Source organism: Homo sapiens, chromosome 20, assembly GCF_000001405.40.
Source record: "Homo sapiens chromosome 20, GRCh38.p14 Primary Assembly".
In the NCBI taxonomy this organism is placed as follows: domain Eukaryota; kingdom Metazoa; phylum Chordata; class Mammalia; order Primates; family Hominidae; genus Homo; species Homo sapiens.
Genome location: NC_000020.11, coordinates 10,886,687 through 10,909,680, shown reverse-complemented (window position 1 = coordinate 10,909,680; position 22,994 = coordinate 10,886,687). Strand labels below are relative to the sequence as shown.

Genomic DNA, 22,994 nt, shown 5'->3' with positions numbered 1-22,994 from the left:
GCACAGTGTTTTACATATCAATATATGCTTTACAGATCATTATATGGTATTATTAATTATTAATATTACCTGCTTATTTAATGTATTTTTATTTTAAAGATATAAAATTGGCCCAAAGCACAAATGTATACCTACTCCTTCACATACCTTAAAAATACAGATTATTTTCATAATCAGTTGGTTTGATAATAAACATATTCTTCAGTCCTTGGAAATGTTTCAACCAAAGTGTCACCAACTCATATAAGAGTTGAACATGAAGAGAGCAATCAAGCAGAGAAACTAAGCCTGGGAGAACATTGCATGGTGCATTAATCAAGGACAGCAATCTTTGCAGTTGTAACAAACAGCCCCACATCATAGTGGCTTAACACAAAGTATAGTTACTTACTGCCCACGTTATAGTTCAGTGCAGGTCTGCAGGAAGGGCCTGCCTCCACTCATGCAGGTACCTGGGATCACCTGTCCATTGGCTACACTGCCCTTTAGGGCCTCCAAATCCCCAGCTGAATTATTCCCATCCATCTAGTAGGAAAGGAAAAAAGAATGTTGAAGGATCATGCAAAATGTTTTAGGGGCCAGTCCTGGACGTAAAATATGTTACATTGGCTAGAATGCTGTTACACATTGCCACCTATTTCAAGAGATGCTGAGATTTGGAGTCTTCTTGGGTGCCCAGAGATTTGAGTATCACCTAGCACTGTTTCTGCTTCAGGTGAGTAGAAGGAGCTCACTTTACATCCATCAACCTGATTTAAATAACTAAACAAACAGCTACAAGCTTCAATGAAAATGCCTTACCCAGACGGAGTATTTCATCCTTGCAAAAGGTGCTCCCATAATATATGGTCCAACCTAGAACAATTTTAAGAGAGAAACAAAGTGGTTAAGAGTGGTAATAAATCTAAATGATATTTTGAAATTTTAAAAATTAATTATTGATTTTAATTTGTTGGTGGAACTATAAAATAGTTCTAGTCAAAACTATTTTTGAAAAATAATATTTTTTAATCAACATAGAATATATCCATATATATTAAAATTATTTTAAATACAATGTTTATTATATGAACATTAAAAATAACGTAAGCAAAACAGTTTTTCTTGGTATATATTTATATATATTAATTGGGGTTTTTTTAGCCACATGGGACTCATACCATATTACTGGTATTTTAATATGTCTTCAATATTATTATTTTTCTTATTTTTATAAAATGCCTGAGATCTTTTCAAAATCACATGATTAAAGTATGTGAATTTCTCTATTGTTTTAAAGAAAAAATATCCCTTGACATTGGCTGTGATACCTACCAACCTGGTAATATGTCTTCAATATTATCTTATTATTTTTCTTATTTTTATAAAATACCTGAGATCTTTTCAAAATCGCATGATTAAAGTATGTGAATTTCTCTATTGTTTTAAAGAAAAAATATCCCTTGACATTGGCTGTGATACCTACCAAGCTCACAGTAAGTTTTGCTAAATGAATATTGTACAAGTCAGTTCAAGCTTATATAACAAAACACCACAGATTGGGTATTATTTCTTATAATTCTAGAGACTGAGAAGTCCAAGATCAAGGTGCTAGTGGATTCAGTTTCTCATGAAGGCTCTCTTTCTGGTTTATAGACAGCCACTTCTTGCTGTGTCCAAAGGGAGAGAGGAAGAGAAAGCTCCCTTCCTTTGGGTCAGAGCTCCACTCTTATGACCTCATTTAACTTTTATTACCTCCGAAAAGTTCTATCTCTAAATACAGTGACACTGTGGGGTAGAGCTTCAAAATATAAATCTGGGGAACACACAACTCAATCCATAGCAATGCTATTATTCTTTACTAAAATATAAAAATGTTGTTTCAGCCCTAAAATATGTACTGTATATGTACTGACTTTTTGCCTGTCCTCAGAGTGCTTGTATTAGGCAAATATTTTACAAGCAAAACTTATCAAAAAAAACTTTATGATACTTTTGAATGTTTCGCTAAACATAAATGTAACAGAATCACAGACCTTCTCAATTTTATTTTATTTCAGTATATGCAATGCAACTTTATTCTGTTAAAAACAGGAGGTCTATCAATAGTTTCTTACCACAAGGTGAGTTTTTCCATAGCATAATTATAGACTTTCAAATGGAAATTGTACACGCCATTTGAGCTTTCACTGTTTAATATGTATATTGTGTAGAAATAAATTTGAATATCTTCCTGCCTGCAAGCTTTGTTGTCAACAATTGCAGGTCCCTAAGAGTTTCAACTGCTGACTTCTTGACACTTAGTCCATTGAATACTTTGATTTAAATATTCCCAACTGATTTTGAGCAAGAAGCTCATTTACAAAAATATAGTTTTTCTTTGTCAGAGTGAACTTCTAAAACCTTTACTTAAATTCCATGAACTAGGTGAGAAAAAAAACCATTCAACCCATTAATGGAGCCACCTTAACTAATCTCTTTGAAGCATGCCTTGCGAGCATCATACAGTCAGCCTCAGGAGAACCATGGCATAACTGGTTGGAAACTGAATGTCCAATAGGGACAGAGCCTTGAGCTCTTCTCCCACCACTATATCCAGAAAAAGTTACCCAACAGTAGCTACTTCTGCCTGACTACACAATGCATGCTTCCCTTGAAAGGGATATGTTGATTTTGATGCATCTGGAAAGAGTTAGGAAGAGAAAAATGGATCATCTCTGTTTCTTTTCAGATTTGACCACTTGTTGAAATGAAAACTCTGTTTATTTCATGTGCGTCTCACTCACTTTTAGGCAAGGTCATGGAAGAAGTGAAAGCACAATGCAGAGGTCTTCCAAGTCTATCCCAGGTTATTTTAACACAAATACTGATAATAATTTTTCACTTAAGGGGAAATATCTTGGACAAATGCTAACCTGGATAGATAACAGGACAAAAGATGTAGAGCTGAATGTCCCAGACAAACTAGTACATACAGTTGATATGGTCACTCTACCTTTGTACCCCTTCCCAATTAATGCCTTAGAGGTTTCTGCATGAAAATCAAAAAGTGTATCTATCATCCAGGCATTCCAAATGGGATCTTTTTTGCACACAGCATCTGCTATGTCCTGATGAAAACTCAGTTGCTTCACGAGGGCTTTGCTAGTCATTCTCTGTCCTCTTCCTGTGATCTTTTAGATTCCAAGTGGATAGCGGAGGACACAGCACAAACTGGACAAACTGGCTAAAATTACCCAGAGCCCTCTAGTGTGGAAAAATACAGCAGAGAGGGCGAAAAAATCATTTTTAACACTCAAAAAGCAAGGGGGTGCTGGGTGTGATGGCAGGGGTGTGGGTGGGGGCCATGGTGGTCCTGAGCATAGGATCTCAGTTATGCTGCTTTAATCCCCACCTATATTCCTAATGCACTTTGGGATTCCACTGGCAAAGCTACCATTGACCTGTACACCAAATCTTAATTTTAAAGACAAGGAGATACACTCCCTGCATGTAATCCCCAAAGCTCAAAACAGCTAGTTTTAGAACAAATTAATAAAATTCAGCTTTCCACCCCAGATGGCAAACCCCAGTATTATTTATTTCAAGAGCTAGTTGAGACTGAAAAGATAAACAGGCTGAAGAAAGAGAAATAAAGCAAACAGGCAGTTTTGTTATAGTTTACATCTGCAATTCTATCCCTGAAATATCTCTTCTAGCAGCTTTCCAAGATAGATTATTGTCTGCACTTAATCAAGACATTTCTTTTTTTTTTTTTAAACTGTCACCAGGAAACTAAGACATTACACCAAATCATTCATTTACCTATTCATTCACTCTCAAATGTTCATTCAACACACATTTGTCAAACACTTTCAGAAACAAATGCTACCTCAGGTTCCACAAAGCCACAGTACTTCCCAGAAGAAGAAAACAAAATTTGTTAAGGTTGTGGGGTGTTTCTTAGATACAGTCGTGGGGATATTCACAATATTTAACAATCATTGCAGCATGGGCTCCAGTCAATCAGAATGACAGCCCTGCCACATAACCAATAAGGAAGGATAAAGCTTATGGATACAATGTGGCCACTGAAACAGCCCTGGAGCAAACCCAATTCCTGAGAATGGTAAAGACAGATCTTAGTGAATAACACTTCTAAATGCTGTGAAAGCAAAAGTAGGTTGAGCCTTAGTGTCAAAGTTATCATGCCTTATTTTCAAAAGAACCAAAAGGAAAAACTGTTTAGAATAGACACATCTCCCTTCATTTCCTTGTGTCAATTCGAGGTGAAAACTTGAGAAGTTAGTGGATGCCACTTATATATAAACATGGTACATGTCCCTTCCTTTTATAATCTCTAATTATCACGACTTTGTCAGTAAATATTACTTAACCCGTCATGCAGATGACAAAGTAGTCCTAAGAGTTTCTGTGTTTTGCTCAGGTCTCACATCTAGATAATGATGGTGGGTTTCAAAATCAGATCTACCTACCTTACTCAGAACATCTCGCGCTTCATTCTAATTTCCTTATGGGAACTAACTTCTCCCACATTCAGCTCACTCTTAGGAGGAGTATGAAATTGGCCAGCCCGCCCCTACTCAAGGAGTAAACCTATGATCCAAGCAAGGTTTAATGAATTGCAAAAATGGCCACCATTCTTCTCCACCACTGCCCCACATCTATTCCACTTTGCAACATGAATCTGGCAGCTCCTCTCATCAAGAGGTGGGGTTCCCACTCTTTAAATCTGGGCTGGCCTTGTAACTTGCTTTCGCCAATAGAATATAGCAGAAGTGACATTGTGAAGGTTCTGAGCATGGGCCTCATGAGACCTTGCACACTTCTACACCCCTCTTGGATCCCTGCTCACTTGCTGTGTGAACAAGTCCTTGCTCACCTGATGGAAGTTGAGAGACCACATGGAGCAAAAACAAACCATCCATTTGGGCCGTCTTAGATGGACCAGCCTTCACTGACCTGGCAGGGGATGGCAGATGCATGAGTGAACCTGGCTTGATCTGGCCCAGATCTGTAGAAAACTTCAGCTAAGTCCAGCCCAAATTTTCGACCTACAAAACCATGAGCTATTAAAAGGTAGTGGTATTAAGCCACAAAGTTTTTTTACATAGCAAAATTTAACCAAAAGGCAAGAATAGAAAATACTTATGATAAATCTCAGAGGCAGCCCGCGACAAGATTTTTAAGTACCTCTTGCTTCCTGGATTCCTGGATCTTCCCTAATTCTTGCCCTCTCTGAGCCTGGTTCTCTAACAGCATTTTTCATACCATGAGCCACCTGTGTCCTCATGACAAATTCCTTTGGCTTAAGTTTGTCAGAGTTTCTGTCAACCAAAAAAACCTCTAAACTCTAACTAATCTTAAAGGCTTTGGTGCAAACTCTACATTTTGCTGCTGAAAAACTAACAGGCAGAGGCCAGGACCAGAATCTAGACAACCTCACATAGAGAACAGGATCATTATCATCAAACAAGGCCATCACCCTAGTCATGACATAAACCAATCCAGTATTAATAAAGTAAGGCTAGCTGCTATGAAAAGCAATCCCTAAATCTCAGGGACTTGACATGATAATGCTTTAATTACCATGCCTGTCACTGGCCAGTAATGGACTTTTCTGGTGGGGTAGGCTTCCATGTGATCATCCAGGGTCTTGGGCACCTTCCGATTGTGAGTCTGTCCTCTCTTAGGTCTTAGGGACCCTCATCATTCAGTCAGATGGGAAAGGAGATGGCACATGAGAGGGCTTTATAAGCCAGTCCTGGAAGTACCACCCATCACTTTTGCACACCTTGCATTGCACAGACCTCAGGCACATGACCACATCAAGCTATCAGAGAAATATGGTCTAGTAATATAAACCCAAGGATGAAGTAAGAGCAAAAATAGGGTCAGATCTTTCCCACAGACTCTTAGCTGATTTTATTATACAGAATTGTATTATTGAAATTAAGCTTTTTGCATTAGAATACCCAGAAACTGAAATTCTTACATTCACTGAAACTCGCTAAAGGGAAAGCTCTGTTAGAGACAGGAAACCCGGCTCAGAGGACACCATTGTCCCGCCACAGTATTCTTTACTATTTTCATTCCTTCCACAAAATAAGCCTGAGATTTGGGGGCAGGGATTCTACAAGCAATCATTTGCTTTCCTTTGTCTGATGAATAGCAACTACAGCAGTTTATTAACCACTAGATTACTCTTAAGATTTTGGCATATCCTCAGAATCATGCAGACACAGTTAGGGAAAAAAATATTTCTCTCTTTCTCCCCTCCCCAGTGGATTTCTTTTCCCCTTCCAATTTCATAAGAAAGTCCCCAGGAAAAATATACTTATAACAGTATCAAATTAATGGATGGATTGAGCTTACATTTTTCTTTTCCCATGATGCATTCTAAATACCAAAAAAAAAGACTAGACAGACAGTGGGACCCATCCCTCCACATTCCAAGACATGCTCCAGTTACCCAGTCATTACAGAGCACTGCCAGGAGGCAGAGGCTATGATTTAACTAGAATTCAGCTATTTTCAATATATTCTAGTTACTTAGTTGATACTGAAGGCTATGATCAGTTTGTAGCCAATGAGCTTTTCTAAAGAAACTGCACAGTGGCATCTGACTTGCTGTAAGTTGTACCAATTTGCACCACAGAGCGTGCCTCTGAACAGCTGAGATTACAAAACAAAGCCTTGGAATTCATATGCCTTCATTCACTGTTTTCACATTTCTCTGTTCCAAAATGTTTGGCTAGTGTTTCTGCCTCCCTCCACCCTCAGCTCTTTCTTAAGGACAGAGAAGAAATCTAATTCTCATGAAACAATTGGTTTTTAAAGTATGCTAAGTATTTGGAGATTTATTAGAAACAGTTTTAGTTCCTCATTACTCTAGAGCAAATTATTATTGATTTACAACAGATAGCTCATCTGATATCCTTCAGGCAGTCATAAAAAATAGTCAGAACATTAAAAATGGTTGATGTCTTTCTGGCAAAAGCAGCTAAACTCAGCCAATGACAGCCCCTTCCAACTGAAGGAAAAATAGCCCATTCTCACTGTGTGTTCTGTTCACTTTTGTGTAAGTATTCCAAAGAACCTGAATTCATATGCATTTATTTTCATATTAAACTCTTTTATCAGAAAGATCTCTTCTAGATACCCCATTCACACCAGAATGATTTTCAAAGTCAGAAAGAACATTTGCTAGGATTACCATGTACTTAAAGCTGGGCATGTTTTATTATAGAGCATTTAGAGTAAGGGTTTTTATTATCATTAAGCAATCCCACTAACAACAGGTCAAAGTTTTGCTGTGAACATGCTATCTAAGAGCATCAGCTCCTTAACAGACTGCCAAGTTTATGTCCTGGCTCCATCCCTGGAGCAACTCTCCTACCTTAGCAAGCAAGCCTCAGCCTTCTCCCCTGCAAAACGGAGCTATCAAGAGCATCCATTTCAATGGTAATTGATTTAGGGGAGGATTTTAATTTTATCACAGCACCAGGCATATAGAAGATTCTCTATTGATATAAGCTACTGGCATGGGACCAAGGCTATTAATAGATGACTAGTAGCAGATTTGCCCACTACCTGCCAGCTAAGAGGATTACACTTTGCCAGCTTAGTTTCTTCTTCTCCTCTGGTTTCCCCAGAAGGGTCTGGACTAACCAGACTAGATCTTTGGGGCTTATGTATTGCAGAATAAACATAAACAAAGCAGAGGAAAAAAAACCAAAAAGAAGCGTACAGGCCAAGGCAGATTTAGGAACTTTAAGAGGTCCTGAGGAGAAAGGATCTGGTCTGGTATGTGAGGAAATTTGTTGAAGTTGGTTGAAAGGAAAAAGGAGATTTGTAGTTATGTTCTCATAGTATTTTTTTTTATTCTTCATGGAATTCAAGAAATGTAAGTAAAGAACTGTATTATTTCCAATTTTTTGTTTTTTTCAGCTTTATTGAGGTTCAGTTGACAAATAAAAATTATATATATGTACAATGTATGACATGATGTTTTGATATATGTATGCATTGTGAAATGATTACCACAAGCAAGCTAATTAACACATCCATCACTTCACATAGTTACCTTTGTTTGTGTGTGTGGTGGGAACAGTCAAGATCTACTCTCTTAGTAAATTTCAAGTACACAATGTTCCATTGTTTACCATAGTCACCATGCTGTACATTAGAGCCCCAAAACTCATTCATTCTGCACAATTCAAATTTTGTACCTTTCAATCAACAACTCTCGATTCCCCTCCATCTTATCCCCACTGGAAACCACCATTCGACTCTCTGCTTCTATGACTTCAACTGTTTTCTATTACATATACAGTCAGTCCTCTGTACCCCTGAGTTCCCCATCCATGGATTCAACCAACCACAGATTGAAAATATTTGGAAAAAAAGATGGTTGTATCTGTACTGACTATGTTCAGACTTTTTTATCTTGTATTATTCCCTGAACAATACAGTAAAACAACTACTTATGTAACATTTACATTCTATTAAGTATTATAATAAATCTAGGGATTACTTAAGTTATACAAGAGGATGTATAGGTTATATGCAAATACTACACCATCTTTATATAAGGGACTTGAGCATCCATGGATTTTGGTATCTGCAGGAAATTCTGGAACCAATCTTCCATGGATACCGAGGGACGATTATATAAGTGAGATTATAAAGCATTTGTCTTTCTGTGCCTGATTTATTTACCTTAGCATAATGTCCTCCAGGTTCATCCATGTTGTGACAAATGACAAATCTCCTTTTTAAAAGACTGAGCACTATATATACACACAATGGAATATTATTTTAAATATCATATTTTCTTTATCCATTCATCTGTTGATGGACACTTAGGTGGATTCCATGTCTTGGCTGTTGTAAATAACGGCATATCTTTTAGACACTGGAGTGTGTATGTGTGTGTGTGCACACGTATGCATATGCGTGTGTGTGTGCGTGTGCATGTGTGTGTGTGTGTGACTATATCCTTATTGGACTGGACCAATTGGATTATGGAATTATGCATTATCACTACACTTCTACTATTACTACTCTTATGGTTATCAAATGTTCTGGTTTAAACTGGCTGCCCTGCCCTTCGTCATGTAGCACCTGCTTTCATTTTCAAAAATATCCCAGTTTGTGCAAATGAATTTTATGGTCACCGTCCTACTGTTGCTCCTGTCACTGCTGCTGTTGCTGCTATTTTTTCGTCTGCAATAGAAATAATCAATGCAAATATTTAAAGTTTACATCATTCTATGTACACTTGGAAAAATATTTCCCATAGATCTTAGTAGCAAATACATTAATTCCTCAGCCAATTAAAGAACTTTTTAGCAACTTGCTCCATAAATGCCAGCTTCTGGGTGAAAGTAAGATTTTTACTATGTGACCCTAACTTATCCAATAAACTCATCATAAACCCAAATGATATCTTCAAATAGTCTTTCCACTAAAGTGTACTCTCCTCTTTAGATTTCCAGCATTGAGGACAAGGTAACAGACAAAGGACAGGTACAAGGGCAAGGGCAAGTAAGGCTATATCAGGTTTCTATTGTGTGCACTTTGTCCCTAAGAACAGGGATATCTAATTTAATATGACAAAGCCATTATTACTTCCAGATCTTCAGATACAGCAAGCATCTTAGCAGCAGGAGCAGACATCTTCTCTAAGCTTAATCATCATCAACCTCATATTATTCACTTTAGTGCCTTATTCCTTAAATATTCTTCAAAAATTATAATAGGCATAAACTGGTCAGACTATTCTACCAAGGAAAAAAGCAAAAATAATATTTTAAGTCAGAAATAGGCTGGGCGCTGTAATCCCAGCACTTTGGGAGGCCGAGGCTGGCAGATCACCTAAGGTCAGGTGTTTGAGTCCAGCCTGCCCAACATGCTCAAACCCTGTCTCTACTAAAAATACAAAAATTAGCCAGGTGTGGTGGTGAGCGCCTGTAATCCCAACTATTCAGGAGGCTGAGGCAGGAGAATCCCTTGAACCCAAGAGGCGGAGGTTGCAGTGAGCCGAGATCGCCACTGCACTCCAGCCTGGGCAACAAGTGTGAAACTCCGTCTCAAAAAAGAAAGAAAGAAAAAGAAAGAAAGAAAAGAAAGAAAGAAAGAAAGAAAGAAAGAAAGAAAGAAAGAAAGAAAGAAAGAAAGAAAGAAAGAAAGGAAGAAAGAAAAAAGAGAAATAGTAGTTCTTGTAAACTTGATATCAAATATGTTAGTTTTTCCTTCCCAAAAAGACGTTTGAAAAAATTCAAATGGCTGTATTTACATTTTGTATTGAGCATCTTAAGATGCCAGTTAAAGATTGTTTATTTTCAGGCCCTTGAATTTAATGATTTTACAGAAATATATGTGAAGCACATGAAGAGGGCATTACGAATTTAATTTTGAAGGTGAGAGAGAGGAAGAAAACACTATGAAACTCTGAAGGCAATTATAGTAAAACATTTATTGTTCTATACCCGGGAATTACTATAAGGATTTTTTGCAAAAATATTCCTTACAAAGGAAATGATTTAGGATGTAATATGGACATCTTTCCAGCCAAATGGGCATGTTTCTATCTTCAAGGGGAGGGAAATGAAATATGGAAACAAAAAAACAATTCTGCTTTTGCTAAATAAGTTACCATCAAAGGTCAGGTCCATGGCAATGCATTTCGGCAGCTTTTTCTACTGCTCAGAGTCTCCTCCATTTTCTAGGGATATCTGAACCACATCTCTCTCTCCATCTCTCTCTCTCTCAGCCTCTCTCTACTTAAGTTTCCAGAATGTTTCCTTGGCTCAGTCCTCTAACACCACTCAATAATGTGTTCAGTACCTTGGGAGTATCTGTGGTCATGTAATTCCACAATCATATTCCTAGATGATATGTCACAATTTGTTTAAGTTGGACTTAGAACTCAGTATGAGCTCACAAAGATGTCCATGAGAGGGGTCAACGATGACTTCATTATCTTAGGATGAACTCACCAGCTTTTCAGTGTCAGCACAGCCTGTCCCATTTCAATGACAAACAGAACCTTAAGGTATGAAGAAATCCTAAGAAATCAGGCACCTCTAAAATGTGAAAATAACTCATTGCATGAATGAGTATGGAGCAGGGAACTGAAAATGCTTCTTTGGCTGGCATTGCCATGGAAAAACAAGAATAAAGACACCACTTTTTTCAAGTTACGATGAATTCCCAGGGCAACACAACAGAATGAAAGCAAAGTGTGCAAAGCTGTGTGAAGGAGACTGATGAAAAGTTTCAACTTCTGATATGTACATAATCTATCAAATATGATCAGATCTATTAAATACACAAATTTATCTGTATACATGTGTCCAATTCTATGACCATTTTTATCTTTACCTAAACTATACCTGACTTCTCTCTTCTTATGTCATGTCCAGGTAAGTTTTGTTAAATTATTTTGTTGTCAGATGCGATTACTATATTTTCTACTATGCGATTACTTTATTTTCTGCTATTTTTAATTTTAGACTTGTCATGACAATATTTGGAGGATGATTCTACTTTGCTAAGCTGCATTTTTTATTGCAAAGTTTTTCTCTCTGTAATTTGTCTTCCAAAAGCTTTAAAATCATTCTTAGGCTATTGTAATAAAATCACATCATTTGCCTGACATTCTCTGACATTATTGTATTTCCTCCCATTTATCTAAGAAGGACAACTGGAACACCCATGCCAAATCAAGCAAACATTGCAGAATCAAACTCTTAAGAACATCGTTCTGGAAAAGTATCTAGTAGCCTTCAGGCTACCTGTCAAAGGGAAATAACCAAACATTTGGTTCAGTTCTCTTTTGTGCTCCCTAAAAGCTCACCTGGCAAGATAAATATTATGGAATGAAGAAGGGGGAAATGTTAGGCAATAGAAAGACATTATCTAAGAGAAAGAGTGCTAAGGCCATGTCAGAATATGGCGGCCTCAGATGGGAATTACCATAAAATTCTAGCCTTGGGTTGGGTAGAGAAAAATAAAGTGTCAATAAGAAAAAATTATTGTCAAAAGAAAAAAATGTGGTACCACAGGGAGTGGGGCATTAGGAAAATTGCTTGAGGGTGTAACCACAAATGGCAGATGGACAAAGTTAGGTGGAGCCCAGAAATAAAGTGAAGCCTTTATTAGCAGACTTGCTGATATATAGATCTCATTGTTATGTAAGACCCAAGGAATTTCTCCCATGCTCCACACCCTTCTTAACAATCAGCCTGGTACCTGGTTAAGATGCAGGTCTTTTCAGGTTCTTTGAACTTACAATCATGCCCATCGTAGACCTAGCTGTGTTAGAAGCTTAGCCAATAACTCCTTGCTCCTGACACCCTCCCTACAGTGGAAATTAAAACAGAATAAATATTCTTTTCAGTCATTATGTTGATAGGGAAACTGGACACTGCCCCATGAAACTTTACTGAGACTCCCAAACATGGGTTAGATGTAGAACCAACACCCTGTCCTCAATGAATTTTCTCTAAACGAAGTTTCTTCATTTAGGGAAATGGAAGTAGAACTCTGAAGCTAAATCAGAGGACTCCAAGCAAATGAAGTGACTGAAAGTAAGCATGTTCCTAACTCATGAGCTTTTAGGAAAACAGCAAGTCTTACTGTTTACCATTTGCTACTTTCTGTAATAACCCATGCAGCTATTCTGTGATTTAAAATATGTCATTTATGGAAAATCAAAAGGCAACTATTACAAGAATCCAAATTGCTTGTAGAACCAGGCAAATTATTCCATTCAATTATCTCTGTAATATAATAGAAACACATTTAGAAACAAAAAGAAGTAGAATCTGAATATCTTTGGGATCTGCATAGCTGATTTCAATTTGAGCTAAAATATAACCACATGCATCGTATTAAGACTGTCTGTTTCTTCGGAGTTTGGGGGTTTATTTTTGTTTTTTGTTTTTTAGTTTAAGGAGAATACTGTGAGGTTAGAGTAGTGCTATGTTCTCCTCCTTGTCTATATCCCAAGGCTCCAGGAGGGTGGGGTAACATGGATTATAAAAGCTACAAATCAAAGGCCTTGGCTTTCCCAAGAAAATTCCAAAATGTGGCATTGCAATAGATATTTGTTCAGCAAAGAACAAGCAACAGAATTTCACACAGGCACTTAGAACTTCAGAGAAAACAGGCAGGCCTGGCCTACAGCAGAGGAATGAGGTAGTATAGAGGACATCTTCTTCCTTCTATTCTTTCTTTCAGCTTCCATTCCTAGAAAAGAATTGGCACTCACTGTTCTCCTTTAAATATTTTAGGCAAGAATGGCTCATTGCCCTTGAGCTACACAGAAATGTATAGGTGGGTGTATTGGGTCGGTTCCCTGGAAGCACAACCTCAGATGGGGATTCTTGTGCAAAAGATACACGGAGGAAGAGCTCAAGGAAGTAACTTGCAATGAAGCAAGGGGAGCAAGCTGGAGCAGGAGAAAAGATCAGGCAAAGGCATGCTTTCAGAAGTCTAGCCTCGGCCTCATCCACAGGGAGCTCCAGAGAGTGAATGGTACCATGCAGCTGGTCAACCTTCTTGGAGGAGGGAGCTGCTGATAGCCTTCAGTAGACAGCACTTGCACTAGCCAAGGGATGAGTGCACCAGCCCAGTGGAGGGGATCTGGGTAGAGCACCTATGCCATCTGCTATAATAGGTAGGTGTACCCATTGTAGAAACATGGAACATCTTCCAAGACAATCAATTTTGCTCAATATTTGAGAAGTCATGGTTTGTTGAATTTTTTTGTATTGGCAAAAACTTGTTCTTTGTATCAGGGCAAAATGATGTATTTTTAAAGACATAACAAGCTTTGCAGTACCAAATCAATCATGTCACATCTTTCATCAAAATTTTCCTAAGTTTCTTCTCGTAGACATATTTATGATCTCCTCAAAGTTTCACAGTTCAGTGCCCAATTTCCATATCAAAATTATTACAAAAAGAATATTTATTCTCTTGTAATTTCTACTGCAGGGAGGGTGTCAGGACCTGGGAGTAATTGACTAAGCTTCCAACACAGCTATCCAGTATCTCCTTGGGGAAATGCCCATGGAATTTAAGTGGAGCTCACTTCACCAGTTCCAGGGATGACCGTATGACCTGTCAATCAAAGTTGACATTCCTTTGGCTTCAGTGATTGGTTCAGATGAAGGAACATGATCCAAGCGGAGTCAATGAGAATTCTCCCTGGGATTTTTATGCAGAGATGTTACAAAAAATGTTACTTTTTTTTTTTTGTAGAGATTGCCAGATATAAGCCTAGAATTTTAGTTGTGATATTTGCCTAAGAATGAAGCTGATCCAGAAGAATCACTGTTAAGTTTAGAAGCAACTCGATATAGCTATCATTTAAGTCAGACACAACCCTGGACTTCCTAGGTGCCAATAAATGACTTTGCAATTACTTTCAGCTAAAATAATATAGATCACTAGAGTTACTCATCAGCTGCAGGATAAAACCTAAACTCCTTTGTTAAAATAATATGGCCCTCTATTGACCCACAAAAATCCTGCACCTATCAATTCTTCCCATTCCAATTCATGTCCTAAAAATACTGAAAAGCTCAGCATTCTTCAGTCTCACACAGTATCATTTCACGCCACAAGGCCTTTGAGATAGGTTTCCCCATTGTCCAGAATGTCCATCCCCTATTTACCCATCCTTCAGACCTCTGCTAGATTACTACCTCCTCTACACAAACTTTTCTGAAGGTCTCAGCCTCCTTCAAGGCTCTTTTGCTCCATGCTCCCTCCCCTCGTTGGGTTTTATCACAATGACTGTCTGACCCTATTGTCTCCTCATCAGACTCTACGTGTCTTCTAGGAAGGACATGCTTTTCCTTTTCGTATCCTCTACCTGAAGCAATATATCACGTACTCAGCAGACGCTCAATAAGTGTTTGAGAAATGAAGAAACAAAAAGACAGAGGGAAGGAGAGAAGAAAAGAAACAAGATTACAGAAAATTCTAAAATACTCTTGGGCTCCAAGAAATGCATCTTCAAATAAGGAACTTCACATACTTATGCTGAGCAATGAGAGAGATATTTTGAGGTAGGGGTTTCTCTTTTCCCTCACACATCACATTCTTTAAATACTGGTTTTATCTATTTATAAATTAGATTATACCTCCCTACAAAATGCTTTTATATTAATTTTTATTTCTACCACAAAAAAAGCCTATGAGGCCAGCACCTAAAGCTTGATATCACTCTCCCAAAAGCTCAGAATACATTGCATTCCACTGACGTTAACAAAATTGGCCAACATAAAGGAGAGTCATAAAGTGCTTAGCTTGGACTCAAGTTCCTTCACAGTCTGGCCTGGTACTTAAATTCTCTCATCTTTAGGGTTTTGTCTATGAAATTAAGAATGACATGACTTTCCTATAATGTTGTTATGAAGAACTCGATGAGATGGTGACACATAGTAGGACTTAATATTGACATTATCTTCACTAGCATTTGTATATGTTGTTGGATGTTAGACGGTGCATCCGTCCCTGCCTCCCCTACTTGGAGTGTCAGTTCCAAGTACCACTTTTCTCATTTCCTGTCCTTCTACATAAACCAGTCTTATAACACACCACCTTAAGGTACCTTCATGACAATCAGCATGGCTTTGAATAAATCTCTTTTTCAATCCTTAGAAACCTGAAAAAATAAGAGAACTTTGAGTTTTCAGTGCTCTGGAAATGGCAAAAAGGTAGGATATTTTAGTCATGCATTGGAAATTAAAAGATTGCCTCCCATCTACACGTGGTTATGTTCTTTTCTCAGGTCCTGCCTGCTAATATTCCATGTGATTTTCACCACTGATATCTAATGCAATATGTTGGATCCTCTTTTATCCAAAAGCCAATCCACCAAGAATTCAAAAAGCTAAATTTCCCCCCATGGACTCTAATCATTAAAATGATTCCCATAGGTTTATAAAGGCCTTGGGAAAGGTCAGAAAACTTAGTTTTCTAAAATCACCTCAGTATATTCTAAGCCTTTAGCCTGGGAAAACCAGATACGGTAACAGGATGAGTCCTGGTTAACTGAATAGTTAACAATTTACCATAATGCCCCCTGTTCCTTAACTATTCTTAAATGGGATTTTCCCATAAATCCTTACCTTTTCCCCAGGTTTAGTGAGAAAGTTATGGTGCTCAAGTCATTGTGTGACAAATCCCTTCCATTCACACTGGCAATGTTAATTATCTGCCAGGTTTCTGTAATCCTTCTCCACACTCCTGGGAGAGGGGAATTGCAAAGTGACAAGTGACTATGAGGTGTCTCCCGCACTAACCTCAGGAGAAAGGGGCCCCTTTTCACTCACATCGCTTCCTCTCACCCTTGGGGTAACAGGAGTGTCAGGGAGCTGTGGAAGAAATAGTCCAGACCCGAAAAGTTCAAGTCAAGGCCCACCGGGAGGAATTTGCTGAAGCCTTCCAACCCTTCTTGCTGTTGCTGAGTAATTTTGCCCTGGAAATTATTGCATACCAAATCGAACATTCATATAGAAACACTTTGTGCAATCCAAAGACTCCAAGTGAGGGTCTGTAATCCTATGGATTCCTTTTGGGAGAGCAAAAAGCTTGACTTACAAGAGTCAATTGGGTGGTCCCTCCAACTCTGATCTTTGAACTTCTACTGATTCTAAGACAATAGTCTCTGAGTTGACTCTCAAATTCCAAATAGCTGCTTTGTCCCCAAATACTACCAAATGGAAAGTAATAGAAAATATTTACGAACTATATTACTTCTGAACACTTCTATTTGTACTACAAGATGCTGATAATTAAGATCATGATGATCACTTATTTTGTCTATTTATTGAAGACTTATTATGTACTAGTCATTTTATGGAGAACTCTATAGGCATTTTCTCCTTGCTTTCCCTGAAATATTATTTCACATGAAAGTCTAAATGACCTTTGAAAAACACAATTCTGATGATGTCAACACCTTCTAATATCTTTCACAGCCTCCCATTATTATTCATACACTAAAATTTAAAGCTGAGCATCATGGTATCAGCTACTGGGGAGGCTGAAATAGGAGGATCACCTGAGTCCAGGAATTTAAGGATGCAGTGCTTTATAATCACACCTATGAATAGCCACTGTACTCCAGCCTGGGCAACATAGAGAGACCCCCGTCTCTAAAAATTAATAAGCCAATTTTTAAAATATTAATAATAACAATAATATAGCTAACACTTGGTGAGTACCTACCTACTATGTATACCAGACACTATGCTACAAGATTAACATGTGTTAACTCATTTAATCTTTATTAAAATTACATGAGTTAAATACTATAATTATTGAATCCCCATTTTACAATGAAGAAGCCAAGGCTGAGAAGTTTAGCAATTTGCCTAAGGATGCATAATGCAAATAATAGTAAACCACTTACTTGACTCCAGAAAATCTGGGTCCAGAGTCATCATTCTTAACCACAAGACTTTATGGTGAGTCTTTGAATATAAATGCCTATGATATGGCCCATAAGAGTGACCACATAGTTCCTAATCCAAATCAGAACACTTTCTGACAATAAAAGAGGGTGCTACTAATAATTACAGCAGATCACACAGGTAGACCAGAAATCCCCCAGGCAAAGCAGGACTTATAGTTGCCCTACACAGAAGGTTCTACTGCTCTGGCTACCTGCCTGCCAGCCCCACTACATACGGTTCTCCAGTTATTCTCTGGGTCCCTCTTTCTGTCTCTTCAATATGCCATGTTGCCTTTGGATTCATTATTATTTCTGCACAAAATGAAATGCTCTCCCCATCTACTCTCTTCCCTTTCCTCTGCTGTTTAGCATGTATTCATCCTGTAGCCCCACAGCTCATGGTGGTCCCCTGAACTAACTTAGGAAAACGTTTATATACTCTATGAGACAGCATTGCTGTGATTTTAGTTATTATTCTCTGCTACATCCTGGTATACTCCACATGGACAGTGTCAAGATCTATTTCCCCTCCCCTGGTTATCCTTATACCTGGCATAGGTTAAGTGCCTAACAAATATTTGCCAAAAAAAAAAAAAAAAAAAAAAGGAAAAGAAAGAGGAAGGAACATAAATGGCAAGACACTGGTTTTTGTTCAGATCATATAGATATGAATTTATTCACTAATTTATTCAACAAATATATATACCAAGTACCTTTTCTATTCCAGGTACCATTTTAGGTGTTGATAATATAGCTGGAAATAAAATGGGAAAAGTTTCTGAGAGTATCCATTCTGGATAACAATCATTAATCCATTAACAAATAAGCAAGATAGTTATAGATAATTCAGAAAGCAATAAAAAGTAAAAGAGAATGATATGGTATGTATGGTTTAATTGGAGGTATATTTAAATTTGGTAGCTGCTGTGGTCTATATGTCCTTCCAAGCTCATGTGTTGAAACTTAATCCCCACTGTAGTGGTAATAAGAGATGGAGCCAGTTGGGCATGGTGGCTCACGCCTGTAATCCCAGCACTTTGGGAGGCTGAGGCAGACAGATGACCTGAGGTCAGGAGTTCGAGACCAGCCTGGAAAACATGGTGAAACACCATCTCTACTAAAAATACAAAAATTAGCTGGGCATGGTGGCTCATGCCTGTAATCCCAGCTACTTGGATGCTGAGGCAAAAGAATCACTTGAACCCAGGAGGTGAATGTTGTAGTGAGCAGAGATCAGGCCACTGCATTCCAGCCTGGGCAACAGAGTGAGATTCCATCTCAAAAAAAAAGAAGATGGAGCCTTTGGGGAAGTGATTAAGTAATGAGAGCTCTACCTTCATGGATGAATTAATGCCATACTAAATGGCTGGTGGAAACTCACTTAGGCCCCTCCCATTTGCCTTTCTGCCCTTCCGCCATGTGAGGACACAGCATTCCTCCACTCTGGAGGATGCAGCAACAAGGTACTGTCTTGGAAGCAGAGAGCAGCCCTCACCAGACACCAAACATGTCAGTGCCTTGATCTTGGACTTCCCAGCCTCCAGAATTGTGCAGAAATACATTTTGGTTCTTTGTAAATTACCTGGTTTCAGGTATTTTGTTATAACAGCACAAACCAACTAAGATGGTAGCCAAGAAGAATTCTCTAGGTAGGTGACATTTGTAATAAATCTGATGACCAAAAGCCATGAGAAGTCCTGCCAAAGAACACCAAACAAAGAGAAAGCTCGTGCAGGCTGAAATAGATAAAGACCAGCTTGGCTAAAGAACAGACCAGGAAGAATGGTTGAGAGGGGTTGGGAAGATGAGCCACTTCATATGGGACTCTTAAGTGATGGCAAGTTCAGATATTCATGTGCAGTGCAGAGCTTTGGGTTTTAAAGAGCAGTGTAAATTGATTTCAGTAATTTTTCTTTTTCTTTCTTTTTTTTTTTTTTTGAAGACCACTCTGGTAACTGAATTGAAAATAGGCTAAAGGAGGACAAGAGCAGAAGGGAGGAAAGAATTGCAATAAACCAGGCAAGAGATGGCAGTGAATAAAGAGGTATTTCATGGAGGGGCTTCTCCAAGTTTAATGTGCACAAGAATCACTGGGAAGCTTGCTGAAGAGCAGATTGTAATTCTGCAAGTCAGGGACGGGGCCTGAGATTCTGAATTTCTAACAAATTTTCAGGTGATGCTAATATTGCTGATTTGATGACCACAGTTGAGAAGGAAGACTTCTTGAACTTGCTGATAGGTTGCATTTGGAAAGCATAAAAAGAAAAGAATCAAGTGTTGTTCTGGATTTTTTTTTCTTTGAAAACCTACATAGATAGTAGTGGCATTCATTGAGATGAAGGTTCATCACATCCCTGCTTTCCAAGTCACCCCACTGCAGCCTGGTGAGGCTAGAAAACTTTTTAGGAGGATTGTATAAACACTGGCTTTGGAAAAATTGGCCAAACTTGGGATGATGATAGTGGAGCACATTTCTGGCCTTAGTAGAAAAATGACACTCGAGCCAGGAAGAGTCCAAGCTCTTAGCAATAAAATGACCCATTTCTGATGAGCGTGCATGCATTGCCAAGTACTTGGCTTAAATGAGTGGTTTATATATCATTCTTTTCCCAGAGACATCAGGTGCCCTCAAAGCCTGCTTAAAAAAGGTCATAGCACAGCTGAAATAAATGGGACAAAGAAAATTATTCTTATACTTTTGCACACACTGTCCAGCGATTGTTCATGTGTCCCTAACGAGCCCACAGTCTTCATATTCTTAGTAGAACTTGTTTAACTCTGTAATCAACAATTTTTCATCTTTACACTTTATTGTGCTCTTTAGAAAATGAAGGCCGGGTGCAGTGGCTCATGCCTGTAATCCCAGCACTTTGGGAGGCTGAGGCAGGTAAATTGCCTGAGGTCAGGAGTTTGAGACCAGCCTGGACAACATGATGAAATCCCATCTCTACTAAAAATACAAAACTTAGCCAGGCGTGGTGGCGGGCACCTGTAATCTCAGCTATTTGGGAGGCTGAGGCAAGAGAATTGCTTGAACCCAGGAGGCAGAGGTTGCAGTGAGCCGAGATCATGCCATGACACTCCAGCCTGGGCGACAGAGCAAAACTCCGTCAAAAAAAAAAATAAAAAAAGAGGTTCATGTGACTGTAATTGCAGAAAATTTGCACAGTCCTGCTTTTCTTCAGAATGAATATGAAGTGAAACTAGCTGAAAACGCTCCGCTACATACCCTGGTGATAGGGGTTAAAACTACGGATGGGGGTTTTGGTATTTATGGTCACGTTACTTAACATATTGTAAATGACTTTGCCAAAGACAGATTTTATATAAATGAGAGAGGACAGATACTTACTCTGGAAAAACTTGATCGAGAAACCCCAGCGGAGAAAGTGATCTCAGTCGGTTTAATGGCTAAGGATGCTGGTGGGAAAGTTGCTTTCCGCACAGTTAATGTCATCCTTACAGATGACAATGATAATACACCACAATTTCGAGTGACCAAATATGAAGTGAATATCAGACCCAGTGCTGCTACGGGGACTTTAGTCATTAAAGTTCTTGCAAGTGATGCTGATGAGGGCTCCAATGCCTATGTCACCTATGCCATTGAAGCAGACTCTGAAAGTGTAAAAGAGAATTTACACCAAAAACAGACAAGCAGAGAGCCAAATCATGAGTGAACTCTTATTCACAATTGCTATGAAGAGAATAAAATACCTAGGAATACAACTTACAAGGGATGTGAAGGACCTCTTCAAGGAGAACTACAAACCACTGCTCAAGGAAATAAGACAGGACATAAACAAATGGAAAAACATTCCACGCTCATGGATAAGAAGAACCAATATCGTCAAAATGGCCTTAATGCCCAAAGTAATTTATACATTCAATGCTATCCGCATCAAGCTACCACTAACTTTCTTCACAGAATTGGAAAAAACTACTTTAAACTTCATATGGAACCAAAAAAGAGCCACATAGCCAAGACAATAATGGGCAAGAAGAACAAAGCTGGAGGCATCACACTACCTGACTTCAAACTATACTACAAGGCCTCAGTAACCAAAACAGCATGGTACTGGTACCAAAACAGATATATAGACCAATGGAACAGAATAGAGGCCTCAGAAATAACACCACACATCTACCACCATCTGATCTTTGACAGACACAAGCAATGGGGAAAGGATTCCCTATTTAATAAATAGTGTTGGAAAAACTGGCTAGCCATATGCAGAAAACTGAAACTGGACCCCTTCCTTACACCTTATACAAAAATCAACTCAAGATGGACTAAAGACTTAAACATAAGACCTAGGACCATAAAAATTCTAGAAGTAAATCTGGGCAATACCATTCAGGACATAGGCATGGGCAAAGACTTCATGTCTAAAACATCAAAAGCAATGGCAACAGGAGCCAAAATTGACAAATGGGATCTAATTAAACTAAAGAGCTTCTGCACAGCAAAAGAAACTATCATCAGAGTGAACAGGCAACCTATAGAATGGGAGAAAATTTTTGCAAGCTATCCATCTGGCAAAAGGCTAATATCCAGAATCTACAAAGAATTTAAACAAATTTACAAGAAAAAAGCAAATGACCTCATCAAAAAATGGGCAAAGGATATGAACAGACACTTCTCAAAAGAAGACATTTATGCAGCCAACAGACATATGATAAAATCGTCATCATACTGGTCATTAGAGAAATGCAAATTAAAACCACAATGAGATACCATCTCACACCAGTTAGAATGGTGATCATTAAAAAGTCAGGAAACAACAAATGCTGGAGACTTTGTGGAAAAATAGGAACGCTTTTACACTGTTGGTGGGACTGTAAATTAGCTCAACCATTGTGGAAGACAGTGTGGTGATTCCTCAAGGATCTAGAACTAGAAATACCATTTGACCCAGCAATCCCATTATTAGGCATGTATCCAAAGGATTATAAATCATTCTACTAAAAAGACACATGCACACGTATGTTTATTGCAGCACTATTCACAATAGCAAAGACTTGGAACCAACCCAAATGTGCATCAGTGATAGACTGGATTAAGAAAATGTGGCATATATACACCATGGAATACTATGCAGCCATAAAAAAGAATGAGTTCATGTCCTTTACAGGGACATGGGTGAAGCTGGAAACCATCATTCTCAGCAAACTATCACAAGATCAGAAAACTAAACACCCCATGTTCTCACTCATAAGTGGGTGTTGAACAATGAGAACACATGGACACAAGGAAGGGAACATCACACCCAGGGCCTGTAAGGGTGCGGGTCAAGGAGAGGGATAACATTAGGAGAAATACCTAATATAGGTGATGGGTTGATGGGTGCAGCAAACTACCATGGCACGTGTATACCTATGCAACAAAACTGCATGTTCTGCACATGTAACCCAGCCCTTAAAGTGTAATAAAAAAAAAAAATGAAGACTGGTCACTGAACAGTGCTGAGCAACAGTGAAGTGCACTTACAAATGAAGCCTTATGCTATTTACAAATCTGAAAGCTGTCCTAGCA

At 38.5% G+C, this 22,994-nt stretch overlaps 1 long non-coding RNA gene and 1 pseudogene across 1 annotated transcript in view; both read left to right on the top strand.

Moving 5' to 3' along the window:
- The first annotated feature begins 408 nt into the window (after positions 1-408).
- LOC101929413 (uncharacterized) overlaps positions 409-22,994 on the top strand; it is a 33,940-nt gene continuing 11,354 nt past the window's right edge. The window contains exons 1-5 of the long non-coding RNA NR_109866.1: positions 409-715; positions 12,514-12,575; positions 13,281-13,666; positions 14,819-15,065; positions 15,661-15,716. This is a non-coding gene — a long non-coding RNA (uncharacterized LOC101929413). The remainder of the gene's footprint in view (positions 716-12,513; positions 12,576-13,280; positions 13,667-14,818; positions 15,066-15,660; positions 15,717-22,994) is intronic.
- Positions 20,591-21,113, top strand: FAT1P1 (FAT atypical cadherin 1 pseudogene 1; annotated as a pseudogene).